The 26,844-nt window shown below is 37.7% G+C and overlaps 1 long non-coding RNA gene across 2 annotated transcripts in view, besides 1 other annotated feature; it reads right to left on the reverse strand.

The window, feature by feature from the left end:
- LOC105377876 (uncharacterized) overlaps nt 1-26,844 on the reverse strand; it is a 90,717-nt gene that overhangs the window by 35,802 nt on the left and 28,071 nt on the right. The window lies entirely within an intron of this gene.
- Nucleotides 13,170-13,370: a silencer, noted in NCBI's record as "peak5925 fragment used in MPRA reporter construct". NCBI's record gives its function as "represses an SCP1 promoter by STARR-seq MPRAs in K562 erythroleukemia cells {active_cell/tissue: K562}" and the evidence as "EXISTENCE:reporter gene assay evidence [ECO:0000049][PMID:32103011]".

A 26,844-nucleotide genomic window follows, 5' to 3' on the forward strand; every position in this document is an offset into this window, starting at 1 on the left:
AGAGCAAAGCCTCCAAGAAATATGGGACTAAGTGAAAAGACCAAATCTACGTCTGATTGGTGTACCTGAAAGTGACGGGGAGAATGGAACCAGGCCAACATTCAGATTCAGGAAATACAGAGAACACCACAAAGATACTCCTCGAGAAGAGCAACTCCAAGACACATAATTGTCAGATTCACAAAAGTTGAAATGAAGGAAAAAATGTTAAGGGCAGCCAGAGAGAAAGGTCGGGTTACCCTCCAAGGGAAGCCCATCAGACTAACAGCGGATCTTTCAGCAGAAACTCTACAAGCCACAAGAGAGTGGGGGCCAATATTCAACATTCTTCAACAGAAGAATTTTCAACCCAGAATTTCATATCCAGCCAAACGAAGCTTCATAAGTGAAGGAGAAATAAAATCCTTTACAGACAAGCAAATGCTGAGAGATTTTGTCACCACCAGGCCTGCCCTAAAAGAGCTCCTGAAGGAAGCGCTAAACATGGAAAGGAACAACCGGAACCAGCCACTGCAAAATCATGCCAAAATGTAAAGACCATTGAGACTAGGAAGAAACTGCATCAACTAATGAGCAAAATAACCAGCTAACATCATAATAATGGGATCAAATTCACACATAACAATATTAACCTTAAATGTAAATGGACTAAATGCTCCAATTAAAAGACACAGACTGGCAAATTGGATAAAGAGTCAAGACCCATCAGCCTGCTGTATTCAGGAAACCCATCTTATATGCAGAGACACACATAGGCTCAAAATAATAGGATGGAGGAAGATCTACCAAGCAAATGGAAAACAAAAAAAGGCAGGGGTTGCAATCCTAGTCTCTGATAAAAGAGACTTTAAACCAACAAAGATCAAAAGAGACAAAGAAGGCCATTACATAATGGTAAAGGGATCAATTCAACAAGAAGAGCTAACTATCCTAAATATATATGCACCCAATACAGGAGCACCCAGATTCATAAAGCAAGTCCTGAGTGACCTACAAAGAGACTTAGACTCCCACGCAATAATAATGGGAGACTTTAACACCCCACTGTCAACATTAGACAGATCGAGACAGAAAGTCAACAAGGATACCCAGGAATTGAACTCAGCTCTGCACCAAGCAGACCTAATAGACATCTACAGAACTCTCCACCCCAAATCAATAGAATATACATTTTTTTCAGCACCACACCACACCTATTCCAAAATTGACCACATAGTTGGAAGTAAAGCACTCCTCAGCAAATGTAAAAGAACAGAAATTATAACAAACTGTCTGTCAGACCACAGTGCAATCAAACTAGAACTCAAGATTAAGAATCTCACTCAAAACTGCTCAACTACATGGAAACTGAACAACCTGCTCCTGAATGACTACTGGGTAAAGAACGAAATGAAGGCAGAAATAAAGATGTTCTTTGAAACCAACGAGAACAAAGACACAACATACCAGAATCTCTGGGACGCATTCAAAGCAATGTGTAGAGGGAAATTTATAGCACTAAATGCCCACAAGAGAAAGCAGGAAAGATGTAAAATTGACACCCTAACATCACAATTAAAAGAACTAGAAAAGCAAGAGCAAACACATTCAAAAGCTAGCAGAAGGCAAGAAATAACTAAAATCAGAGCAGAACTGAAGGAAATAGAGACACAAAAAACCCTTCAAAAAATTAATGAATCCAGGAGCTGGTTTTTTGAAAGGATCAACAAAATTGATAGACCGCTAGCAAGACTAATAAAGAAAAAAAGAGAGAAGAATCAAATAGATGCAATAAAAAATGATAAAGGGGATATCACCACCGATCCCACAGAACTACAAACTACCATCAGAGAATACTACAAACACCTCTATGCAAATAAAATAGAAAATCTAGAAGAAATGGATAAATTCCTTGACACATACACTCTCCCAAGACTAAACCAGGAAGAAGTTGAATCTCTGAATAGACCAATAACAGGATCTGAAATTGTGGCAATAATCAATAGCTTACCAACCAAAAAGAGTCCAGGACTAGATGGATTCACAGCCGAATTCTACCAGAGGTACAAGGAGGAACTGGTACCATTCCTTCTGAAACTATTCCAATCAATAGAAAAAGAGGGAATACTCCCTAATTCATTTTATGAGGCCAGCATCATCCTGATACCAAAGCCTGGCAGAGACACAACCAAAAAGGAGAATTTTAGACCAATATCCTTGATGAACATTGATGCAAAAATCCTCAATAAAATACTGGCAAACCGAATCCAGCAGCACATCAAAAAGTTTATCCACAATGATCAAGTGGGCTTCATCCCTGGGATGCAAGGCTGGTTCAATATACGCAAATCAATAAATGTAATCCAGCATATAAACAGGGCCAAAGACAAAAACCACATGATTATCTCAGTAGATGCAGAAAAGGCCTTTGACAAAATTCAACAATCCTTCATGCTAAAAACTCTCAATAAATTAGGTATTGATGGGATGTATCTCAAAATAATAAGAGCTATCTATGACAAACCCACAGCCAATATCATACCGAATGGGCAAAAACTGGAAGCATTCCCTTTGAAAACTGGCACAAGACAGGGATGCCCTCTCTCACCACTCCTATTCAACATAGTGTTGGAAGTTCTGGCCAGGGCAATTAGGCAGGAGAAGGAAATAAAGAGTATTCAATTAGGAAAAGAGGAAGTCAAATTGTCCCTGTTTGCAGATGACATGACTGTATATCTAGAAAACTCCATTGTCTCAGCCCAAAATCTCCTTAAGCTGATAAGCAACTTCAGCAAAGTCTCAGGATACAAAATCAATGTACAAAAATCACAAGCATTCTCATACACCAATAACAGACAAACACAGAGCCAAATCATGAGTGAGCTCCCATTCACAATTGCTTCAAAGAGAATAAAATACCTAGGAATCCAACTTACAAGGGACGCGAAGGACCTCTTCAAGGACAACTACAAACCACTGCTCAATGAAATAAAACAGGACACAAACAAATGGAAGAACATTCCATGCTCATGGGTAGGAAGAATCAATATCGTGAAAATGGCCATACTGCCCAAGGTAATTTATAGATTCAATGCCATCCCCAACAAGCTACCAATGACTTTCTTCACAGAATTGGAAAAAACTACTTTAAAGTTCATATGGAACCAAAAAAGAGTCCACATCAACAAGTCAATCCTAAGCCAAAAGAACAAAGCTGGAGGCATCATGCCACCTGACTTCAATCTATACTACAAGGTTACAGTAACCAAAACAGCATGGTACTGGTACCAAAACAGAGATATAGATCAATGGAACAGAACAGAGCCCTCAGAAATAACGCCACATATCTACAACTATCTGATCTTTGACAAACCTGAGAAAAACAAGCAATGGGGAAAGGATTCCCTATTTAATAAATGGTGCTGGGAAAACTGGCTAGCCATATGTAGAAAGCTGAAACTGGATCCCTTCCTTACACCTTCTACAAAAATTAATTCAGGATGGACTAAAGACTTAAATCGTAGACCTAAAACTATAAAAACCCTAGAAGAAAACCTAGGCATTACCATTCAGGACATAGGCATGGGCTAGGACTTCATGTCTAAAACACCAAAAGCAATGGCAACAAAAACCAAAATTGACAAATGGCATCTCATTAAACTAAAGAGCTTCTGCACAGCAAAAGAAACTACCATCAGAGTGAACAGGCAACCTACAAAATGGGAGAAAATTTTTGCAACCTACTCATCTGACAAAGGGCTAATATCCAGAATCTACAATGAACTCAAACAAATTTACAAGAAAAAAACAAACAACCCCATCAAAAAGTGGGCGAAGGACATGAACAGACACTTCTCAAAAGAAGACATTTATGCAGCCAAAAAACACATGAAAAAATGCTCATGATCACTGGCCATCAGAGAAATGCAAATCAAAACAAAATGAGATACCATTTCACACCGGTTAGAATGCTGATCATTAAAAAGTCAGGAAACAACAGGTGCTGGAGAGGATGTGGAGAAATAGGAACACTTTTACAGTGTTGGTGGGACTGTAAGCTAGTTCAACCATTGTGGAAGTCAGTGTGGCGATTCCTCAGGGATCTAGAACTAGAAATACCAATTGACCCAGCCATCCCATTACTGGGTATATACCCAAAGGACTATAAATCATGCTGCTATTAGGACACATGCACACGTATATTTATTGCGGCACTATGCACAATAGCAAAGACTTGGAACCAACCCAAATGTCCAACAACGATAGACTGGATTAAGAAAATGTGGCACATATACAGCATGGAATACTATGCAGCCATAAAAAATGATGAGTTCATGTCCTTTGTAGGGACATGGATGAAATTGGAAATCATCATTCTCAGTAAACTTTCGCAAGGACAAAAAACCAAACACCGCATGTTCTCACTCATAGATGGGAATTGAACAATGAGAACACGTGGACACAGGAAGGGGAACATCTCACTCTGGGGACTGTTGTGGGGTGGGGGGAGGGGGGAGGGATAACATTAGGAGATATACCTAATGTTAAATGACGAGTTAATGGGTGCAGCACACCAGCATGGCACATGTATACATATGTAACTAACCTGCACATTGTGCACATGTACCCTAAAACTTAAAGTATAATAATAATAAAATAAAATAAAAACATTACACAAGTAAAAGAAGCCAGTGGCAGAAGGCCACAGGCCACATGAACCCAGTTATATGCAATGTCCATCAAATCAGAAAGCAGATCTGTGGACGCCGAGGATGGGGAGTGGGGGAAGAGAGGGGCTGACTGCTAATGGGTACAGCGTTTCTTTTTTGCATGTTAGAAATGTTCTAAATGTTCTAAAATTAGATTATGGTGACGGTTTTATAACTCTGTAAATACACTAAAAATCACTGAATTTTATACTTTAAATGCATGAACTTAATGATATGTAAATTATTTCAATAAAGCTTTAAAAAAAAACGAGGATTTTGAATTAATCCAATCAGACAAAGACAGAGAAAAAAGAATTTTCAAAAATGAACAAAACCTTCAAGGATTTGGGGATTACGTTAAATGGCCAAACCTAAGAATAATTGGTGTTCCTGGAAAAGAAGAGAAATCTAAAACTTTGGAAAACATATCTGAGGTAATAAGCCAGGAAAACTTCCCTACCTTGCTACAGAGCTAGACACCCAAATAAAAGAAGTTCAAAGAATACCTGGGAAATTCATTACAAAAAGATCATCACCTAGACAAATAGTCTTCAGGTTATCTAAAGTCAAGATGAAGGAAAGAATCTTAAGAGCTTTCAGGCAAAAGCATCAGGCGACCTATAGAGGAAAACCTATCAGATTAACAGCAGATTTCTCAGCAGAAACACTACAAGCGAGAAGGGATTGGGGTCTTATTGTAGCCTCCTTAAACAAAATAATTGTCAGCTAAGAATTTTGTATCCACCAAACTTATCTTCATAAATGAAGGAGAGGTAGTCTTTTTCAGACAAATGCTGAAAGAATTCACCACTACCAAGCCAGCACTACAAGAAATGCTAAAGGGAGTTCTAAACCTTGAAACAAAACCTTAAAATACACCAAAACAGAACGTCCTTACAGCATAAATCTTACATGCTTTATAGCCTATAAAAGAATAACACAATGAAAAAAGCCCAAGGCATTCAGGCAACAACTAGCATGATGAATAAAACAGTACTTCATATCTCAATACTAATGTTGAATACAAATGGCCTAAATGCTCCACTTAAAAGATATAGAAAGGTAAAATGGATACAAATCCACCAACCAAGTATCTGCTGTCTTCAAGAGACTCACCTAATGCATAAGGACTCATATAAACTTCAGGTGAAGGGGTGGAAAAAGATATTCCATGCAAATGGACATTAAAAGTGAGCAGGAGTATCTGTTCTTATACCAGACAAAACAGACTTTAAAGCAACAACGGTTTAAAAAGATAAAGACAGATAATAATAAAAGGATCAGTCTAACAGGAGAATATTACAACCCTAAATATATATGAACCTAACACAGGAGCCCCCAAATTTATAAAACAATTATTACTAGACATAGGAAATGAGACAGACAACAACACAATAATAGTAGGGGACTTCAATACTTCATTGACAGCACTAGACAGGTCATCAAGACAGAAAGTCAAAAAAGAAGCAGTGGACTTGAACTATACCCTAGAACAAATGAACTTAACAGATATTTACAGAACATTCTACCCAACAATTGCAGAATATACATTTTTTCATCAGCACATGGAATATTCTCCAAGACAGACCATATGATAGGCCACAAAACAAATCTCAACAAATGTAGGAAAATCAAAATTATATTAAGTACCTTCTCAGATCACAGTGGAATAAAAGGGGAAATCAATTCCAAAAGGAATCCTCAAAACTATATAAAAACATGGAAATTAAATAATCTACTCTTGAATGATCTTTGGGTCAACAATGAAATCAATATGGAAATTAAAAAATTATTTGAACTGAACAATAATAGTGACACAATTAGAACACAGCAAAAGTGGTGCTAAGAGAAAAGTTTATAGCATCAAATGCCTAATCACAAATCCGAAAGAGCACAAATAGACAATTTAGATTGCTAAGGTTACATCTCAAGGAACTAGAGAAACAAGAACAAACCAAACCCACATCCAGCAGAAGAAAGTAAATAACAAAGGTCAGAGCACAACTAAATGAAATTGAAACAACAGCAACAACAACAAAAATACAAAAGATAAATAAAACAAAAAGGTGGTTCTCTGAAAAGATAAACAAAATTGATAGACCATTAGCAAGATTAACCAATAAAAGATCCAAATTAGTTCAATTAGAAACAAAATAGGAGATATTACAACCAATATCACAGAGATACAAAATATCATTCAAGGCTACCATGAATGCCTTTACACACACCAGCTAGATCTAGAGGAGACAGATAAATTCCTGGAAATATATAATCCTCCTAGATTAAATCAGGAAGAAATAGAAACTCTGAGCAGACCAATAACAAGTAGCCAAATTGAAACAGTAATTTTAAAATTGCTAACAAAAAAAAGTCCAGGACCAGATGGTTTCACAGCTGAATTCTATCAGGAATTAAAAAAAGAATTGGTAGCAATCTTACTGAAACTATTCCAAAAGACAGAGAAACAGGAAATCCTTTAAATCATTATATGAAGCCAGTATTACCCTAATACCAAAACCAGGAAAGGACATAACAAAAAAAGAAAACTACGTACCAATATCCCTGGTGAACATAGATGCAAAAATCCTCAACAAAATACTAGCTAACCAAATCCAATAGCATATCAAAAAGATAATACACCATGATCAAGTGGGTTTTATACCAGGGATGCAGGGATGGTTTAACATAGGCAAGTGAGTACATGTGATATATCACATAAACAGAATTAAAAACAAAAATCATATGATCATCTCAATAGATGCAGAAAAAGCATTTGACAACATCCAGCATCTCTTTATGATTAAAACCCTCAGAAAAATCTGTATAGAAGGGACATATTTCAAGGTAATAAAAGCCATCTATAATAAACCCACAACCAACATTATACTGAACGGGGAAAAGTTGAAAGCATTCACCCGGAGAACTGGAAAAAGACAAGGATGCCCACTTTCACCACTTCTATTCAACATAGGACTGGAAGTCCTAGCCAGAGCAATCAGACAAGAGAGAGAAATAAAGGGCATCCAAATCAGTAAAGAGGAAGTCAAACTGTCACTGTTAACTGATGGTATGATCGTATACCTGGAAAACCCTAAAGACTCATCCAAAAAGCTCCTAGATCTGATAAATGAATTCCATAATGTTTCAGGATAAAGAATTAAGGTACACAAATCAGTAGCACTGCTATACACCAACAATGATCAAACAGAGAATCAAATCAAGAACTCAACCATTTTTACAACAGCTAAACAAATAAAATACTTAGCAATATACATAACTAAAGAGGTGAAAGCTCTCTACGAAGAAAACTAAAAACACTGCTGAAAGAAATCATAGATGACACAAAAAAATGGAAATACATCCCATACTCATGCATGGGTAGAAACAACACTGTGGAAATGACCATAATGCCAAAAGCAATCTACAAATTCAATGCAATTTGCCTCAAAATATCATCATCATTCTTCACAAAACTAGAAAAAAAATCCTAAAATTCATATGGAACCCAAAAAGAGCCCACACAGCCAAAGCAAGACTAAGCAAAAAGAACAAATCTGGAGGCATCACATTACCTAACTTCAAACTATGCTAAAAGAATATAGTTACCAAAAACAGCATGGTACTCATATAAAAACAGCATGGTACTGGTATAAAAACAGGCATGTAAACCAACAGAACAGAATAGAGAATCCAGAAACAAAGCCAAACACTTACAGCCAACTGATTGTCGACAAAACAAACCAAAATATAAAGTTGAAAAAGGCTGCCCTATTCAACAAATGGTGCTGGGATAATTGGCACAAATAGAGGAATGAAGCTGGATCCTCATCTCTCACCTTATATAAAAATCAACTCAAGATGGGTCAAAGACTTGAACCTAAGACCTGAAACCTTAAAAATTCTAGAAGATAACATCAGAAAAACTCTTCTAGACATTGGCTTAGGCAAAGACTTCATGACCAAGAACCCAAAAGTAAATGCAACAAAAACAAAGAAAATAGATGGGACCTAATTAAGTTTAAGTTTCTGTAGAGCAAAATAAATAATCAGCAGAGTAAACAGACAACCTACAGAGTGGGAGGAAATATTTGAAAACTATGCATCTAAAGAAGAACTAATATCCATAATCTACAAAGAACTCAAATAGATCAGCAAGAAAAAAGGAAATAATCCCCATCAAAAAGTGGGCAAAAGATATGAATAGACAATTCTCAGAAGAAGATATAGAAATGGCCAACAAACATGAAAAAATGCTCAATATCACTAATTAACAGGGGAAATGCAAATAAAAAACACAATGAGATAGCACCTTACTCCTGCAAGGATGGCCAAAATTTAAAAATAAAAAAAATTGATGTTGACATGAATGTGGTGAAAGGGAACACTTTTACACTACTGGTGGGAATGTAAACTCGTACAACCACTATGGAAAACAGCATGGAGATTCCTTAAAGAATTAAAAGTAGATCTACCATTTGATCCAGTAATCCCACTACTGGGTATTTACCCAGAGGAAAAGACATCATTACAAGAAAAAGACACTTGCACACACATGTTTATAGAGCACAATTCACAATTGCAAAAATATAGAAACAGCCTAAATGCCCATCAACCAATGAGTGGATAAAGAAAATGTGATACACACACACACACACACACACACACACACACACACACACACACATATATATATATATATATATATATATATATATATATATATATATATATATATATTATGGAATACTACTCAGCCATAAAAAGGAACAAAATAATGGCATTCACACAACCTGGATGGAGTCCAAGTCCATTATTCTGCTAAGTGAATTAACTCAGGAATGGAAAACCAAACATCCAACCTCAGCCTCCCGTGTTCAAGCAATTCTCCTGCCTCAGCCTCCTGAGTAGCTGGGACTACAGGTGCATGCCACCATGCCCAGCTAATTTTTGTACTTTTAGTAGAGACAGGGTTTCACCATGTTGGCCAGGATGGTCTCGATCTCTTGACCTCATGATCCGCCCACCTCAGCCTCCCAAAATGCTGGGATTACAGGCATGAACCACTGCACCCAGCCATTTTGTTTTGTTTTGTTTTCACTTATAAGCAGGAGCTAAGCTACGAGGACTCAGACATAAGAATGATATAATGGATTTTGGGGACTCGGGGAAGTGTGGGAGGGGAGTGAGGGATAAAAGACTACATACTGGGTACAGTGTACACTGCTCAGGTGATGGGTGCACCAAAATCTCAGAAATCACCACTAAATAACTTTTCCATGCAATGAAACACAGCCTGCTCCCGCAAAACTATTGAAATATAAATAAATAAATAAATAAATAACACTATGCATCTATTAGAATGGCTAAAATCCAAAACTCTGACAACGCGGAAGTGCTGACAAGGATATGGACTAACAGGAACTTTCATTCATTCCTGGTGGGAATGCAAAATGGGAAAGTCACTTAGAATACAGTTTAGCAGTTTCTTACAAAGCTCAACACATTCTTACCAATGACCCACAAGTCATGCTCCTTGATTTACCTAAATGAGTTGAAAACTTATGTCTAGATAACCCATACATGGATATTTGTAGGAGCTTTATTTGTACAGGTTGAGATTCTCATATCTGAAATGCTTGGGACCAAAAGTGTTTCAGATTTTGAATGTTTTCAGGTTTTGGAATATTTGTATATACATAATAAAATATCTTAGGGATGGGGCCCAAGTCTCAACATGACATTTCTTTATGTTTTATATTTACCTTATATATACATGTTATATATATAGCCTGAAGGTAAGTGATAGAATATTTTTAATAATTTTGTGCATGAAACAAAGTTTGTATACATTAAGCCATCAGAAAGCGAATATATCACTATCTCAGCACTTATGTAGACAATCTGTGGCTGTTTGGCATCACCATCATTCCTGACTCTGAATTTATAGCTACCAATAAACAATCATTTTCTCATATTTATTCACATGTAAGTACTTAACAGTAAAAAAAAGACATATCATTAATATAGTAAAAAAATGTGTTCAGGATAACTAAGCAGCATAGTAGCATCATTAGGATACTCGTATCAGCTGTTAAACAACAGCAGGAACTAACAATGGCACGTGAGTTCAGGTGTGGAATTTTCCACTTGTGGCATCATGTTGGTGCTCAAAAAGTTTTGGATTTTGAAACATTTTGGATTTCAGATTTTCTGACTACAGATGCTTAGCCCATAATTAACAAAACTTGGAAGTAACCAAGATGTCCTTCAATAGGTGAATAGTCGAACAAACTGTGGTATATCCCAACAGTGGAATTTATTCAGCACAAAGAAGAAATATGCGGTCTAGTTATGAAAAGAGACAGAAGAACTTTAAACGCATGTTGTTATGTGAAAGAAGCCAATCTGAAAAGGTCAACATTCTGTATGATTCCAAGTATATAACATTCTGAAAAAGGCTTAGTAATACAAACTACCAGACTTATGAAAGATTGAACCATAGAAAGGCACAATACCTAGACAAAAGAAATAATCCAAGGCTGCCGAGAAAAGGGCCTGACATGTCCAAGTTGCAGGAAAGGATATTGGGAGAAGAATAAACTAGTTCTGATGAGTGATTATTTATGGGATAGGTGGGAACAGGGAGAAGTCAACAGTGACCTCAAGGTTCCCTATTGGCGGTACAGAAAAACAGGGGACATGTATCCCTCAGAACCAGGACAAGTTAGGAGAGGACAAGCAGTTCTTGATGGAAGGTGGTGAGTTAGGTTCATCCAGGCTGCATTTTAGTTTCCAAGTAGAAACATCCAGTGAATAATTTTGAATGTGTGACAGACACTCAGAAGAGAGATTGAGATACACAGTTGAAAGCCATCTGCTTTAAGCTGTTAGAAGACATAAGCACCAATGAGATCCAGAGGTATAGAGCAGACAGAAAAGCAAAGGGCAGGGAACGGACCATCTCTGTGGCTGAATCTGCCTGAAGAGCTCAAGCTCCTAGATCACAGGTGGGCTGTAGAACAAAGTCACCAGGCATCCATCACTCCAAACTCTGCCTTTGAGATCCTCCTCCTCCAATGTAAATCTAAGGTAATTAATCAAATCAAACAAAAGCTTCCAGAGATTTGCTCTTCTTTTGTACTAACCATCTTTCCTCTCAAGTCTCCTCTCCAGAGTCTTAATTGCATATTTCATAAGCCTGTTTGGAACTTTTACTAGCTGTCACCTTCAGTAAATACCAGCCAAGTAAAGTCTTCAAGTGTGTGATATTTAACACACTGGATACTTAAAGCAGTTATTGAAATAGGGCCTGCAGATATGACAGCTTGTGCTAACAGCTCCAGAACTATTACAGGTGAACATTTCAAAGCTCTTCACAGGATTTTTTTTTAATTCCTGGATCGTTGACCTCATTAGCTCCTTGGCTCTTAGGCCCATGTGAGCTCAATTCCTTCCTGTCCATTGTCAGAGTCAACAATAGCCCTGTCCTCCCTGGTCCAATTGTGTCTCAAGTGCTGTCATGGATACATTCATCTACATAACCCTTAACATTTCAAGGACAATGGCTGTCCAAAATTGACCACTCAAAGAGAAGTATGGATTTTTTCTTGTTCTTTATAACTTTGATAATTTGTGGTCATTTTTTGAGCAAACGAGGCTTTTGGGTTTTTGTTTGGCAAGGGTTTTTGGCCTCTGCTTTCAGCAAAGGGATGAAGCAAGTCATTTTATCCACATATTTCATTGCCCCAGGGCCAGGCTCACATCTATTGCAGGCAGGTCTTGGAACCAGCTGCCCATGCTTCCTGAGAGAAGGGCATAGGGAAAGGGGTGTTCAGAGGGATTGGAATCAGTCGTCTTTTCCTTACACTCAACACAGCATCTACATGGGTGCCTTAGTTCAACCTAGGCCCACAAGTTTGAACTTGAGAAACTCATTCCTGTGCACAGAAATAAACATCAGCTCCCAATGTACCCCTAGTGACACCCCTATCTCCAAGATACTTTTTGACAACTAAAAAGAGTCCTAACAGGAGACTTAAAAGGATCCTGTGAACTGTGATCTTTATTTTAAGTGACTCAGAGCCCTTTTCCACTTTTCAAACATTGACTCATTATCCAAGCACATTTAATACTTTCTTGTGTATAGAGCTGTGCTAGGCATTTTACAGAGCTAATTAAACAGACATGATGCCTAACCTCTAGGCGTTTATGATTTAAGGAAGACAGTGTCAGTGAGAACAGAGGAACCAATTCAGGACATAAGGGAAATGGAACAAATACCTTATGGCTATGAAGATAAACTATAAGAGCAAATGTGTTATTGGGTGTCTACTGGCAGCAACAGGACCATCCAGCTCACCTGGGGAATTCCAAAGCTCCTAAAGTAAGTTCATTGTGACTATTATTTATCTTTTTAATCCTGTACATTCATTGGTAGGAGCTAGTGATGCCCAACAAATGTGGATCACTGACAATATATTTCTGTCTTTTCATTCTGCAGACAGAACTTCACAGAAGTAGACAGACACCCCTGAAGCCAGGCCTCTGGCCCTTCCTTATCTCACCCTCCTCAGTCCAAGTTCTGTATATCTTTGCTTGCTCAGCTTTAGTCTAGTCCGATCATTCCAACTTGGGATTCATTCTTTCTTCCCTAGACTTCCTTCTCAGAACCATCTGCTCACCCATAGAGGACAAATCCCAGGTTTACCCACCTTAATCTCAATAATGTACCTATTTCAGATAGTCAAGAGCTATGCACAGTAGCTAAAATCAATGGAAGGACCAGAGTTGCTAGGGTCACCATTTAATATCGAGGTCTCAAATTTCCCAAAGAAGTAAGAATCATATTAGAGTTTGAATAACACTGCAAAGTAGATTAGGAAAAAACACAATAGACTTAGGGCCTGGCAAAGGGTTTTAAAATAGAGAATAAAGTTCTTGTTATGCCTTGTAGGAAAGCAGAGCTACATTTTTTATTAACAATGGTCAGTTTTGTTGTGAGGGCATTGGTTACTTTAAATTACTGGACAGAAGGCATATCTGAAATGGTTCTGGGAGTAACCCAGAAGGGCCAGGCAAACACCAAAGCTCTCAGATAGTAACAAAGCACCAGGAAGCCCTGTGGCCATCAGCTCAAAGTCTTCTGTGGCTGGCGGAATATGCCCACTGTAGAGTCAGCATGGTCCCTTCAGATTCAGCCCTATTGCTCTGTCCCAGTGTGGGAAATGGGCATCTATACGGAGCCCCCAGCCTTACCCTCTGAGTCATGCCATCTTCTCAGGTGCCGCTTCAGAGCAGAATGCAAGCCCCTGCTCTTTCTGGGTACTATGCCCTTCATCCCCCAGATTCTACTAACTCTCTGCTATCCTATTTATTTTATTTTATTTTATTTTATTTTCTTCTCCTTTTTTTTTTTTTTTGATGCAGTTTCACTCTTGTTGCCCAGGCTAGAGTACAATGGCATGACCTTGGCTCACTGCAACCTCTGCCTCCTGGGTTCAAGCGATTATCCTGCCTCAGCCTCCCAAGTAGCTAGTAATACACACGCCCACCACAATGCCTGACTAATTTTTGTATTTTTAGTAGAGAGGGAGTTTCACTATGTTGGCCAGGCTAGTCTCGAACTCCTGACCTCAGGTGATCTGCCCACCTACAGCCTCTCAAAGGCCCAATCCTCTCTAAGCCATCGGCCTCCAACATACCTTGCATATCTCTTCAATGGGTTCAGGCTTTTCAAAAATCTGAAAGGTATGTGTCTGACAGGAAACTTTGGCTTTTAGTCCAGGAACATAAACCATCCTGAAATCAGTAGGCTAAAAAGCTCTGAATACTTGTTTGAAATGAGGAACGGGGAAAATGTAGGAAGCATTATGATGCTATAAGAAGTAGACTGTAGGGTACAGTCAAATTAGAACTCAGGATTAAGAAACTCACTCAAAACCTCACAACTACATGGAAACTGAACAACCTGCTTCTGAAGACTACTGGGTAGACAACAAAATTAAGGCAGAAATAAATAAGTTATTTGAAACCAGTGAGAACAAAGACACAATGCACCAGAATCTCTGGGACACAGCTAAAGCATTGTTTAGAGGGAAATTTATAGCACTAAATGCTCACAGGAGAAAGCAAGAAAGATCTAAAATCAACATCCTAACATCACAATTAAAAGAACTAGAGAAGCAAGAGCAAACAAATTCAAAAGCTAGCAGAAGACAAGAAATAATTAAGATCAGAGCAGAACTGAAGGAGATAAGAGACATGAAAAACCCTTCAAAAAATCAGTGAATCCAGGAGCTGATTTTCTGAAAAGATTAACAAAATAGATAGACCGCTGGCCAGACTATTAAAGAAGAAAAGGGAGAAGAATCAATAGACACAATAAAAAATGATAAAGAAGAGATCACCACTGATCCCATAGAAATACAAACTACCATCAGAGAATACTACAAACACCTCATGCAAATAAAATAGAACATCTAGAAGAAATGGATAAATTCCTGGACACATACACCATCCCAAGACTAAACCAGGAAGAAGTTGAATCCCTGAATAGATCAATAACAAGTTCTGAAATTGAGGCAGTAATTAATAGCCTACCAACCAAAAAAATCCCAGAACCAGATGGATTCACAGCTGAATTCTACCAAAGGTACAAGGAGGAGCTGGTACCATTCCTTCTGAAACTATTTCAAATAATAAAAAAGAGGGACTCCTCCCTAACTCATTTTATGAAGTCAGCATCATCCTGATATCAAAAATTGGCAGAGACACAACAAAAAAAGAAAATTTCAGGCCAATATCCCTGATGAACATCGCTGTAAAAATCCTCAATAAAATACTGGCAAACCGAATCCAGCAGCACATCAAAAAGCTTATCCACCATGATGGCTTCACCTTAGGATGCAGGGCTGGTTCAACATATGCAAATCAATAAATGTAATCCATCACATAAACAGAACCAATGACAAAAACCACATGATTATTTCAATTGATGCAGAAATGGCCTTTGATAAAATTCAAAACCCATTTACTCTAAAAACTCTCAATAAACTAGGTATCAATTGAACGTATCTCAAAATAATAAGAGTTATTTATGACAAACCCACAGCCACTATCATACTGAATGGGCAAAATCTGGAAGCATTCACTTTGAAAACCAGCAAAAGACAAGGATGCCTTCTCTCATCACTCCTATTCAACACAGTATTGGAAGTTCTGGCCAGGGCAATCAGGCAAGAGAAAGAAATCAAGGGTATCCAAATAGGAAGAGAGGAAGTCTAATTGTCTCTGTTTGCAGATGACATGATTGTATATTTAGAAAACCCCATCATCTCAGCCCAAAATCTCCTTAAGCTGATCAGAAACTTCAGCAAACTCTCAGGATACAAAATCATTGTGCAAAAATCACAAGCATTTCTATACACCAATAATAGGCAAACAGAGAGCCAAATCATGAGTGAACTCCCATTCACAATTGCTACAAAGAGAATCAAATACCTAGGAATACAACTCACAAGGGATGTGAAGGACCTCTTCAAGGAGAACTACAAACCACTGCTCAAGGAAATAAGAGAGGACGCAAACAAATGGAAAAACATTCCATGCTCATGGATAGGAAGAATCAATATTGTGAAAATGGCTATACTGCCCAAAGTAATTTGTAGATTCAACGCTATCCGCATCAAGCTACCATTGACTTTCTTCACAGAATTAGAAAAAATTACTTTACATTTTATGTGGAACCAAAAAAGATCCCATATAGTCAAGACAATCCTAAGCAAAAAGAACAAAGCAGAAGGCATCACACTACCTGACTTCAAACTATAGTACAAGTCTACAGTAACCAAAACAGCATGGTATTGGTACCAAGACAGATATATAGACCAATGGAACAGAATAGAGGCCTCAGAAATAACAACACACATCTACAACCATCTGATCTTTGACAAACCTGACCAAAAAAAATGAGGGAAAGATTCCCTATTTAATAAATGGTGTTGGGAAAACTGGCTAGCCATATACAGAAAACAGAAACTGGACCCCTTCCTTACACCTTATACAAAAATCAACTCGAGATGGGTTAAAGACTTAAACATAAGACCTAAAACCATAAAAATCCTAGAAGAACACCTAGGCAATACCAATCAGGACATAGGCATGGGCAAAGACTTCATGACTAAAACACCAAAAGCAACCGCAACAAAAGCCAAAACTGACAAATGGGATCTAATTAAACTAAAGACCTTCTGCATAGCAAAAGAAACTATCATCAGAGTGAACAGGCAACCTGCAGAATGGGAGAAAATTTTTGCAATCTGTCCATCTGATAAAGGACTAATATCCAGAATCTACAAGGAACTTAAACAAATTTACAAGAAAAAAACAACTCCATCAAAAAGTGGGCGAAGGATATGAACAGACACTTCTCAAAAGAAGACATTTATGGGGCCAAGAAACATATGGAAAAAAAGCTCATCATCACTGGTCATTAGAGAAATGCAAATCAAAACCACAATGAGATACCATCTCACACCAGTTAGAATGGCAATCATTAAAAAGTGAGGAAACAACAGATGCTGGAGAGGATGTGGAGAAATAGGAATGCTTTTACACTCTTGGTGGGAGTGTAAATTAGTTCAACCATTGTGGAAGACAGTGTGGCAATTCCTCAAGGACCTAGAACCAGAAATACAATTTGGCCCAGCAATCCCATTATTGGATATATACCCAAAGGATTATAAACCATTCTACTATAAAGACATGTGCACACGTATGTTTATTGCAGCACTGTTCACAATAGCAAAGACTTGGAACCACCCCAAATGCCCATCAATGATAGACTGGATAAAGAAAATGTGGCACATATATACCATGAAATACTATGCAGCCACTACAAAAAAGGATGAGTTCATGTCCTTTGTAGGGACATGGATGAAGGTGAAAAACCATCATTCTTAGCAAACTAACACAGGAACAGAAAACCAAACACCACATGTTCTCATCCATAAGTGGGAGTTGAACAATGAGAACACAGGGACACAGGGAGGGGAGCATCACACACTGGGGCCTTTCTGGGGGTGGGGGCTAGGGGAGGGATAGCATTAGGAGACATACCTAACGTAGATGACGGGTTGATGGGTACAGCAAACCACCATGGGATGTGTATACCTTTGTAACAAGCATGCACATTCTGCCCTTATATCCCAGAACTTAAAGTATAATAAAAAATTAAAAAAAGAAGAAGTAGACTGTGGGTATAATGGAGACACAAAGGGCAGGGGTCTAACTCTGTCAAAGGCAAACATGAAGCTCATTGACGGTTTCACAGAGAAATGATTCCAAGATGAGTCTTTAGCTATATAAAATTTATCTCACATTTTACCTTCCAGAATATATGCTTTATAAACTGGAGAAAACCTGCAGAAATCCTTTTTTTTTTCTCCAAATTCAAAAATTGCACTCCATTTGATCTAGGAATGTAACCAAAAAAATCACATCATTTTACCATGTGGCAAATTTTCTAGTGATGACAATAATAGTAGTGACAATTACAATGAAAACACAGAATGGCATGAATTACTAAAAACTTTCTGACACCTGAGTACATATACTTTTTAGGCTTGCCTGGAGGAATTGTGGAGCTGAAGTTAGTCCTTATTTTCCACTAGCCTTACTACTCATGCCTAATTGTAATGTGCATAGAGAATGACATGAGTTTGAGTGATTGAGTGAAATCAGACACATTGAATTTCCCAGGTCTGGTAATTAATACCTTGTCAAGTACAAAGACAGTGGTGCACTCAAGAGGAAAAGCCCGAGAGTAATTATACAGTGGCCAGGTTAGGGCTCAGTAAGTGACACTGACTTATTGGCCCTGAGTTTCTGACACTGCCTGTCAAGATCGATTTATAACAGAAATGACTCATCTACCCTTCTCATTCTAAGATCAAGTGTGTGTCCTCTGCTCAGGGGAGTCTAACTTTCTTTGGCAGACCGATAGAGTCAAAGTTTAATTAACATGATGATAAATCACATGGAAGCCATCGCGTATTAGCAATTCTCAGATAACCCATTCCATGTCCTATGCTGTCTTTTGCCTAGTCCCTGTGCCTTTATAAAGGAATCAATACAAGGAGTATTTAGTAGAAATACTAAATTACAGTATTTATTTGGGGGAAGAAATCAAATACAAAAAAGCTTGTATCTTTTTAGAAAACAAAACATAGGAAAGAAGAAAAAAGGAAAGACGGAAGGAAGGAGGAGAGAGACTATGTTGAGCATCTTTAAGATACAACTAGGCTCTTTCTCTTACAGAGCTGTGTATATTTTTCAGAAATCTGCTTGATACAACCAAAAAGGCCACTAAGTAGAATCTTACTTGGATAGAATTATCCAGGCTGGGAGTACCTACAGCTGGACTAAAAAGGGTTTTTTTCAAAATGACTAGGGAATCTGTGGAGACTCCATCCCAATGTTAGATAAGAAATTGCAATCCAGCAAATGTTACAAAATTTAGAAAAAACAAAAGTTTATGTGGTCAACGTATGCATCCTTTTTCCACTGTGGTCCAGCTGGAAGACCTGAGATCAGTTATTTAACCTCTTTAAGTTTCAGTTTTCTCATCTCTAAAATAGGGAATTTAATGGCATTATGTATATAAAATCCTCACTACAGTTCTTGGCAAATATTAGATACTCAATAAAACCTTAGTTTTTATCACCATCATCACTAGAATGGAGGGACTTGACAGAAGAGAACAGGAGAACAAGAGAGAATCCATACTTGAAAGCTAAGAGCTATTATCTAAAACTTACCCAACTAGGAAGTCCAGTGGTTTAAAAACAAAAACGTATCTTTTATTTTACTAAGACCAAATAGATTTATATCTCAAAAAATGTTAGGAAAAATTGCATTTTCCAGAAACTTAATTATGCATTCTGAAACTTCATAAATTCCATTAAACAAGGTGTTTATAATAGTTACTGGATGAAGTTATATTTTATAATTTGGTATTTTCAAATATTATTTGTCACTTGATTTTACTGTGCTTTCTATGTAGTGCCACTTTTTAAAAGGTAAACAAATTGATACTTTATATAACAAAGTTGAACTTATATAAAAACCTCAGTCTTCAAATGCAGGATGAGACTTAATTCAATTTTGGCCAGGTAGCATCTCATCAGTAAATCACTGCCTAGAATGTAATGCAGAAATAATGGCATAAGGCCCTGTCATTGACATAGATGTTTGAAGCAGTGTTTGAAGTCAATCAAGATCTCAGAAGCTTTGGTTAAAACAGTAATTTCCATGACTATGGCATTACTGAGGTTTTAAAATGTTTGTACAGGCTAAGGGATGGAAAATATTTATCAAAATTAGAGAACCCATACCAAGTTTGGGCACTGAAGATAGTCATCAAACAGTGGCAGCAATAAATATTCTCTTACCTCCTTATGTGGTCTTAAACACCTGAAATGGGGATGGGAAAGTACTGAGTCTGTTAGGACTGCCCCTTCTTCTGCATAAAAACATAATTTTTAAAAAATCCCCACTCTGTCCATACCATCTCATGGGCCTCCATGTCTCCAACATTTGGGATGGGGGTGGTGATGGGAGAAACTCAGGAGGTCACTCTGTGTCTGTAAACCTTGGAAGTAGAGACTTTTGAATAAAACTCTTCAAAAGGGGATTTCAGGCCTGGCGTGGTGGCTCATGCCTGTAACCCCAGCACTTTGGGAGGCCAAGGCAGGCAAATCACCTGAGGTCAGTAGTTCGAGACCAGCCTGGCCAACATGGTGAAACCCTGTCTCTACTAAAAATACAAAAATCAGCCAGTTGTGGTGGCGGGCGCCTGTAATCCCAGCTACTCTGGAGGCTCAGGAAGGAGAATTGCTTGAACCTGGGAGGTGGAGCTTGCAGTGAGCTGAGATTGCACCACTGCACTCCAGCCTGGGCAACAGAGCGAGACTCTGTCTCAGTTAAAAAAAAAATTGGGATTTCAAAAGTTGTGCTAGTTTAATGTTTACAACTAGAATCTGGGGCACCATAAAGCTAATGATAAGTTCAATGTTGACATAGGATTCTCTAGGCAAAATGGAGGAAATAACTCCAGACAGTTTGGTTTACAATCAGCCAAGTCACTGTCATCACAGCCACTGTCCTCATAGCTGCCACCATCCTGTGGCTGGAAAGCATAACCCCAGGGGCTCAGTGCACATCCATGAAGGCTACATCCATCAGATCTCTCAGCTCAGGTGAGGAGGACCCTAGCCTCACAGGCAGAAAGGGCAATTGCATTTGATAATACTCCCCAAGGTAAGAACAGAGATAAATGTCTACTAAAGTGCATAATCTAAAGCCTCCCCAGTTCCAATAGAGAAGAGAAAGGTTTTTAAGGGTAACCTAATTTTAGTGTCTCACTTAATTCTCTCCCAGAAATGTCCCTGCTCGTACCATGGGCCCCCACATGGAATTTACACTGGCAAAGAAACCAGGGGCTCTGGATTCTGTCCCTGGTTCTTACTCTATACCATTTTATCTACACTTCAAGAAGTCACTTAACTAAGCTGTGGTTCAGTTTCCATTTATGTCATATGTGTATGATATCAATTCATTGACATTCATTAGAAAAAAGTATCCAGTTCAGACAATTAATTACTAAAATTAGCTCCCAAATTCCATCTTGGTTCCCAAACCCTCCATTTTATCTAAAATGACCTAATTAAAAGAAAATTGAGATAGTATTATGCTGTCCTATAATGCACTTTAAAATACTCAACATACATAGTGTGATATCATGTTTATATTACTTACAGTGAGCTTCAGTCAGGCACTAATCAAGAATGCACAAACCAGATGGTCTTCTGGCATTCCACCCAGGAAATCTGTTCCCCAAAGCAGCTACCGTAATAACTTGAATGATTCACATCTCGGCCAATAACCAACACTTTGCTATTAGCTTAATGAATATCAGCAATGGATTTTTATTGATTAAAAACAGTGACCTGGTGAGTAGCATGATAAATTTTAGAACCAGCTCTTACTGATTACATTGAAGGTATCTAGGTATGGGTTAGTTTAAGGCATTTTGGTGACACTCAACTCCTTATGAACAGGGTATAAAATCCAGTGAGATCTATGTTTTCACCTTCGAGGATGACACTCCACTAGCCGGTCCTGTGTTCAGCCATTGGTTTAGGAGGCTTTCTAGTTGCCTGATACTGCCTATAAAAGGATGGATTCCTGCTGCTGGAGTATGGTTGTGTTTGTCCCCAATAAACTCTGCATGTAAGACAGGGGTTAGAATATGCCAAAGGACAGACAGAAGGGATTTCATTGGGATTACACAGCTGGTTGTATGTGCAATTTTATGCTTGCTTTCTAATTATATTTGTTTAAAAATATCTGTATGTGTAGCAGAATTTGATCTGAGACCTGCTGCTATAAATAAGTGATACTGCAATTATGAGGAGGTGTTTACCCTTATCGATTTTAACTTTCTCCAGCAGCTTCCTTTATCTGCCAAAAAGAGCCAAAGAGTTTCTGTACGGCCAATTGGCTTGCCACACACAGCTAGTAAGATTGGTGTAAGTAAAATTGCTTATTAAAAAAACTCCATTCTCATCAGGCTAATCCAGAATTTGATTTAATAACTGAGCATCTAACTCTTTGTATTAGAATATCAATTCAAATAAAAGCTTACCTTAGGTACCATTCAGGAGTGTGTTACTCTTGCTGCTGCTTCTCCGCTCATCTGATTTTTGCTTTGGAAAAGACCCAGTAAACATTTATTTGAAAACTAAGTGCAAGGTGCTATGCTGGGCACTAACAAGGGTACAATGGGATATGACTCGAGGTTTGGGAGCTTCAGGAACTTTCATGAAATGATGAAGTAAGCTGGAAGTTAAACTGGACTAGAAGTCAGGCAATCCAGGCTCTAGTCTGGATTAGCCCACTAGTACTTCTTTGGGCAAGCCAGCCTGTCTGTCTGAGCTTCACCTCTTTGTGTGACAGCAAAGGGGAGGCCCCTCCAGTTTCTTCCATTTTACCCATCTATGATGCAATTAATCAAAGGCTGTGAACTTATTCCTGCTGTGAGCCAGGCATTTTACTAGTTCTCAGGATTACAAAGACAAAAAAGATACGGCCCCTCCCCTAAGCAGGTCATACGATGTGAGAAAAAGTAGAAATAATCACAATAATAGTATATTTTTATAGTTTATATAATATTATGACCCCCATTTCATTGAGAAATATCCAAGGAGCTTAAACCAATTATGTTGTTTTTCCCCTCACAGCAGGTGGACGGCAAAAGTCAGAAGATCATCTAAGACTATAGGAGAGGGAAAACCCATCATAGTTGGGCTGAGTAATTTTGACTCAAGTTATAAAGTTGGATACTGATGTCACTCCCTGTTCATCAAGTATCATCTAAGGAATATAAAAAGACTTTGTTCAAGCACATATGCCCTGCTATTTTTCCTGGAATTTCTGTCATTAAAATCACTCTGAAGCAACATAACCATAAACCTTTGACAATTTTACCTGAAAAGGATAATTACTCAAAAAGTCATTTTTACATCATGATAAATAACCTTACCAAATACATGATAGGTAAGTTTTATTAACCTAAGAAAAGGATAAATGACATATTTTTAGCTCTTCTTCTCAAATTACCACCAACAAGATGTCCCACCACATCCTCCAGGTGAACATTTTAAAATCCAAGTCATCATCTCCACCAAACCTTTCTACCCCAACCACCCACACCAACCTTCTCCACCCAATTTCTCCCTCACTAATGTTGCCATTTTTCTCTCAGTCAGTCATATAAGCTTAAAATCTTAAAGCTAACTTTGATCCCTTTTTTTTGTCTCCACTGCTCAAGATCTATGGACACACTCTAGCATATCTCTTTCTCTCTCTCTTTTAAAATTGTGATAAAATATGCATAACATAAAATTTATCATCTTAACCACTAGAAGTGTACAGTTCAATATTGTTAAGTATGTGCAACCAATCTCCAAAACTATTTTCATGTTGTGAAACTCTAGACCCTTTAAACAACCCCACATTTTGTCCTCACTCCAGCCTGTCAACCACCATTCTATGTTCTGTCTCTATGCATTTGACCATTCTATAGGTACCTCATATCAATGAAAAACACAATATTTGCCTTTTTCTGACTGGCTTATTTTGCTTAGCTTAATGTCCTCAAGGTTCCTCCAAGTTGTAGCATGTGTTAGGGTTTCCTTCCTTTTTAAGGCTGAAAAAATATTTCACTGTGTGTATACACCACATTTTGTTTATCCATTTATCTATCAATGGACAGTTGGGTTGCTTCCACCGTTGGGCTATTGTGAATAATGCTGCTGTGAACATGGGAATACAAATATTTCTTAGAAACTCTCCTTTCAGTTCTTTTGGGTATATACCAAAAAGTAGAATTGCCAAATCATATAGTAACTCTATTTTTAATTTTCTGAGGGACACCATACTATTTTCTATAGTCTACCAAGCCCTTCCCTCATTCCTTTGCCCATGACCTCTGCCTTCCCAGCCACATTAACTCCACCTGCTGAAACACTCTCACCTCTTAGAAACAATTTCACTTGGTACTGGCATTGCATAGTCAAAATGCTCCCTCCAAATTCGAATGTCTATCAGCCTATGATTCATCTTCATAGCTCTTATGCATCCATGTATGTGTCCTCGGAAACATGCATGTGCAATGTCTTCTTTGCTACAGTGAAAAGCCTTAAAGGCAGGGAAGTGAACTATTTTATTTGCTGCTAAAACTCCAGCACTCTACATTGCTAGGCATACAATAAACAGGGAAGAATTGATTATCTTTAAAGTTGAAGGCTTCATATTTTCCTAAATATGACTTCTACTCTCACTTTTGAAATTACAAACTCTTAGAATTGAATCAAGTTTATAAATGATCCTTCCAGAGATTCTCTGAGAGCTCTTTATTTGAGGCTTTAATTTTCTAGTTTGACTGTCTGTAATGATCAGATCGAAGAGATAATGGCTAAATAGCTGCTTCTCTTGGGGCAATATAGAACCAGTCATCACTGGATCTCATATTGGACTTTCTGCAATTAGCTCTCTTTCCTTTAGTTACAATCATTGTCTTCCAAATGCTGTATGCTAAGAAATAAATAATGAATATCTAATATTGTAGGAGTCTCACAGTAACAGATTCGAGGAACAGATTCAGTAGGTCTAGTATTACTATGTCAGTGAGAAATTTAAAGCTTGCCTCCTTTTTAATTGGTTTATTATTGTTTTCCTTCTCTATTGGACAGATTATAATAAAAGAATCATGACTTTTGCCAAGGAGAGATGACATAAAAATAAGTTAAGACAGGAGAGAATTCTACATGCATGGTACAATTTTAAAATAAAATTATAATACATAATAAAACACAAAATGAGTTGCAGCTGTGGTCTGAAAATCTTAAATAAGTCATCGAAGAGAAAATTGACTAATAAACAATCTCCCACACACTAACAAATCAGTGTACATATGCAAATAAAATTAACTCATGCTATAAAAGGCTAAAAAGAAATCCATAAAACATGTTGTAAGCTGCCATTTTTCCAGAATCGTTGGAGGAGAGAGGCAAAGAGTGGTCAGGTCCTGTTAAGCCTGGGTTGGGGAGGATAAGATCACGAAGTGAGGAAGAGGAAGGTGGGAGCAAAACCAGGAAGTGACAAAAGAGCATTGAACGCTTGGTTCTGAGAATTATAAGTTTTTCTGGCTGCCTTGATACATCTTACCGGGCCAGAAGCAGCATCTTAAAGAGCCAAACCATGCTGCACATGCCTATCTTTTATCTCCTATTTGTAAGCTGAGACCTGTGTATTAGATTCATGTTTGTACACACTAACAAAGAACTAGCACACCATAAAACATTTAGTGCATGCTTAAGACATTTTTAAAGAGTGAAATACTATATCTTACAGTCTATGTTAAATTATTAACTAAGATTTTTCTGTGATTTATAACCAGGGTCTTCATATATTTCACTTTACCTGGAACGTCCCAGTTAACACTACAGTCCAAGCATAGTTCTCTCTTTCACTCTCGAAAGTGCTCAGGTTTGGAAGATAAATTTCATGATGAATCAATATAGTCATCTAGTTTATGGCAGTCTGAAAGTTGATTTCTAGAATTCTCTGTCGTCAACTTGTTTACTGGCCATTGTCTCTTCCTCATCAAAACAGAATAGATTATGCAAGTTAACACTGAAAAGACTATAACTCTGGATTCCAGATAAACAAATTTAGTTATGATTCTAACATTAGCAGTTTTTTATAGAAAAATCATTTTCTAAAGTCAAAGAATATTTAAAGCAACATAACATTTTATATAATTAATTTCTTCCCAATATGAATGTATAGCAGAAATGTTAGTACCTTCAACCTTCTGGCATATCATTAAATATAGGGCAACAGCCATACTGAAAATGAATTCACTCCATATATGTGTTTATGTGTGTGTATACATATGTGTGTATTTGGGAGAATGGAAACATTTCTGATGCTCCCAGGAACATAAGAGACTTTGGGTTATGGTTGCCGTACTTGGCAATGACTTCATTGTTGGATTTGTATAAAAAGATAAATGAGGGGCAATTTTTATCTTTTGTAGAAAAATTTTTTAATTGCTTCAATGTATCTTACTATGGCTGCTTCTAGCATGTGCCATGTGGTTTGTAGGAATTAGGAAAAAGTCACCTCTTTGGATGGACCCTGTAGAAAAAGGAGTTTTCCTTTCTCCATGCTGGACCAGGGCTAGATCATAGGCTGGATTGAACCCCTTTTCACTGAGAGGGGTGGCCCTGATTGTAAAACTAATTTTTTCTACCTTACAAAATAGATACAGTCCCATAAAGACTGCCTGTGAAGGAAATCACCATATTTTACATCCTACTTTTTCACTAGAATTTTTCAAAGGTGTCCATCTAAGAGGGGGATAAAAGCACCCTTTATAATGCATGATAGTGGTAGAGGGAAGCAGGTGGATTCTATTTTAGTCTGCAGAGAAGCTTTGGAAATCTCAAAGTTTAAAGAAACGTAACAAACACTTGATAAAAATCTTAAATCTACAATTCAAATAAGTAAAAATCTATGAATTAAAAATAGC

Source organism: Homo sapiens, chromosome 6 (genome assembly GCF_000001405.40).
Source record: "Homo sapiens chromosome 6, GRCh38.p14 Primary Assembly".
Taxonomy (NCBI): Eukaryota; Metazoa; Chordata; class Mammalia; order Primates; family Hominidae; genus Homo; species Homo sapiens.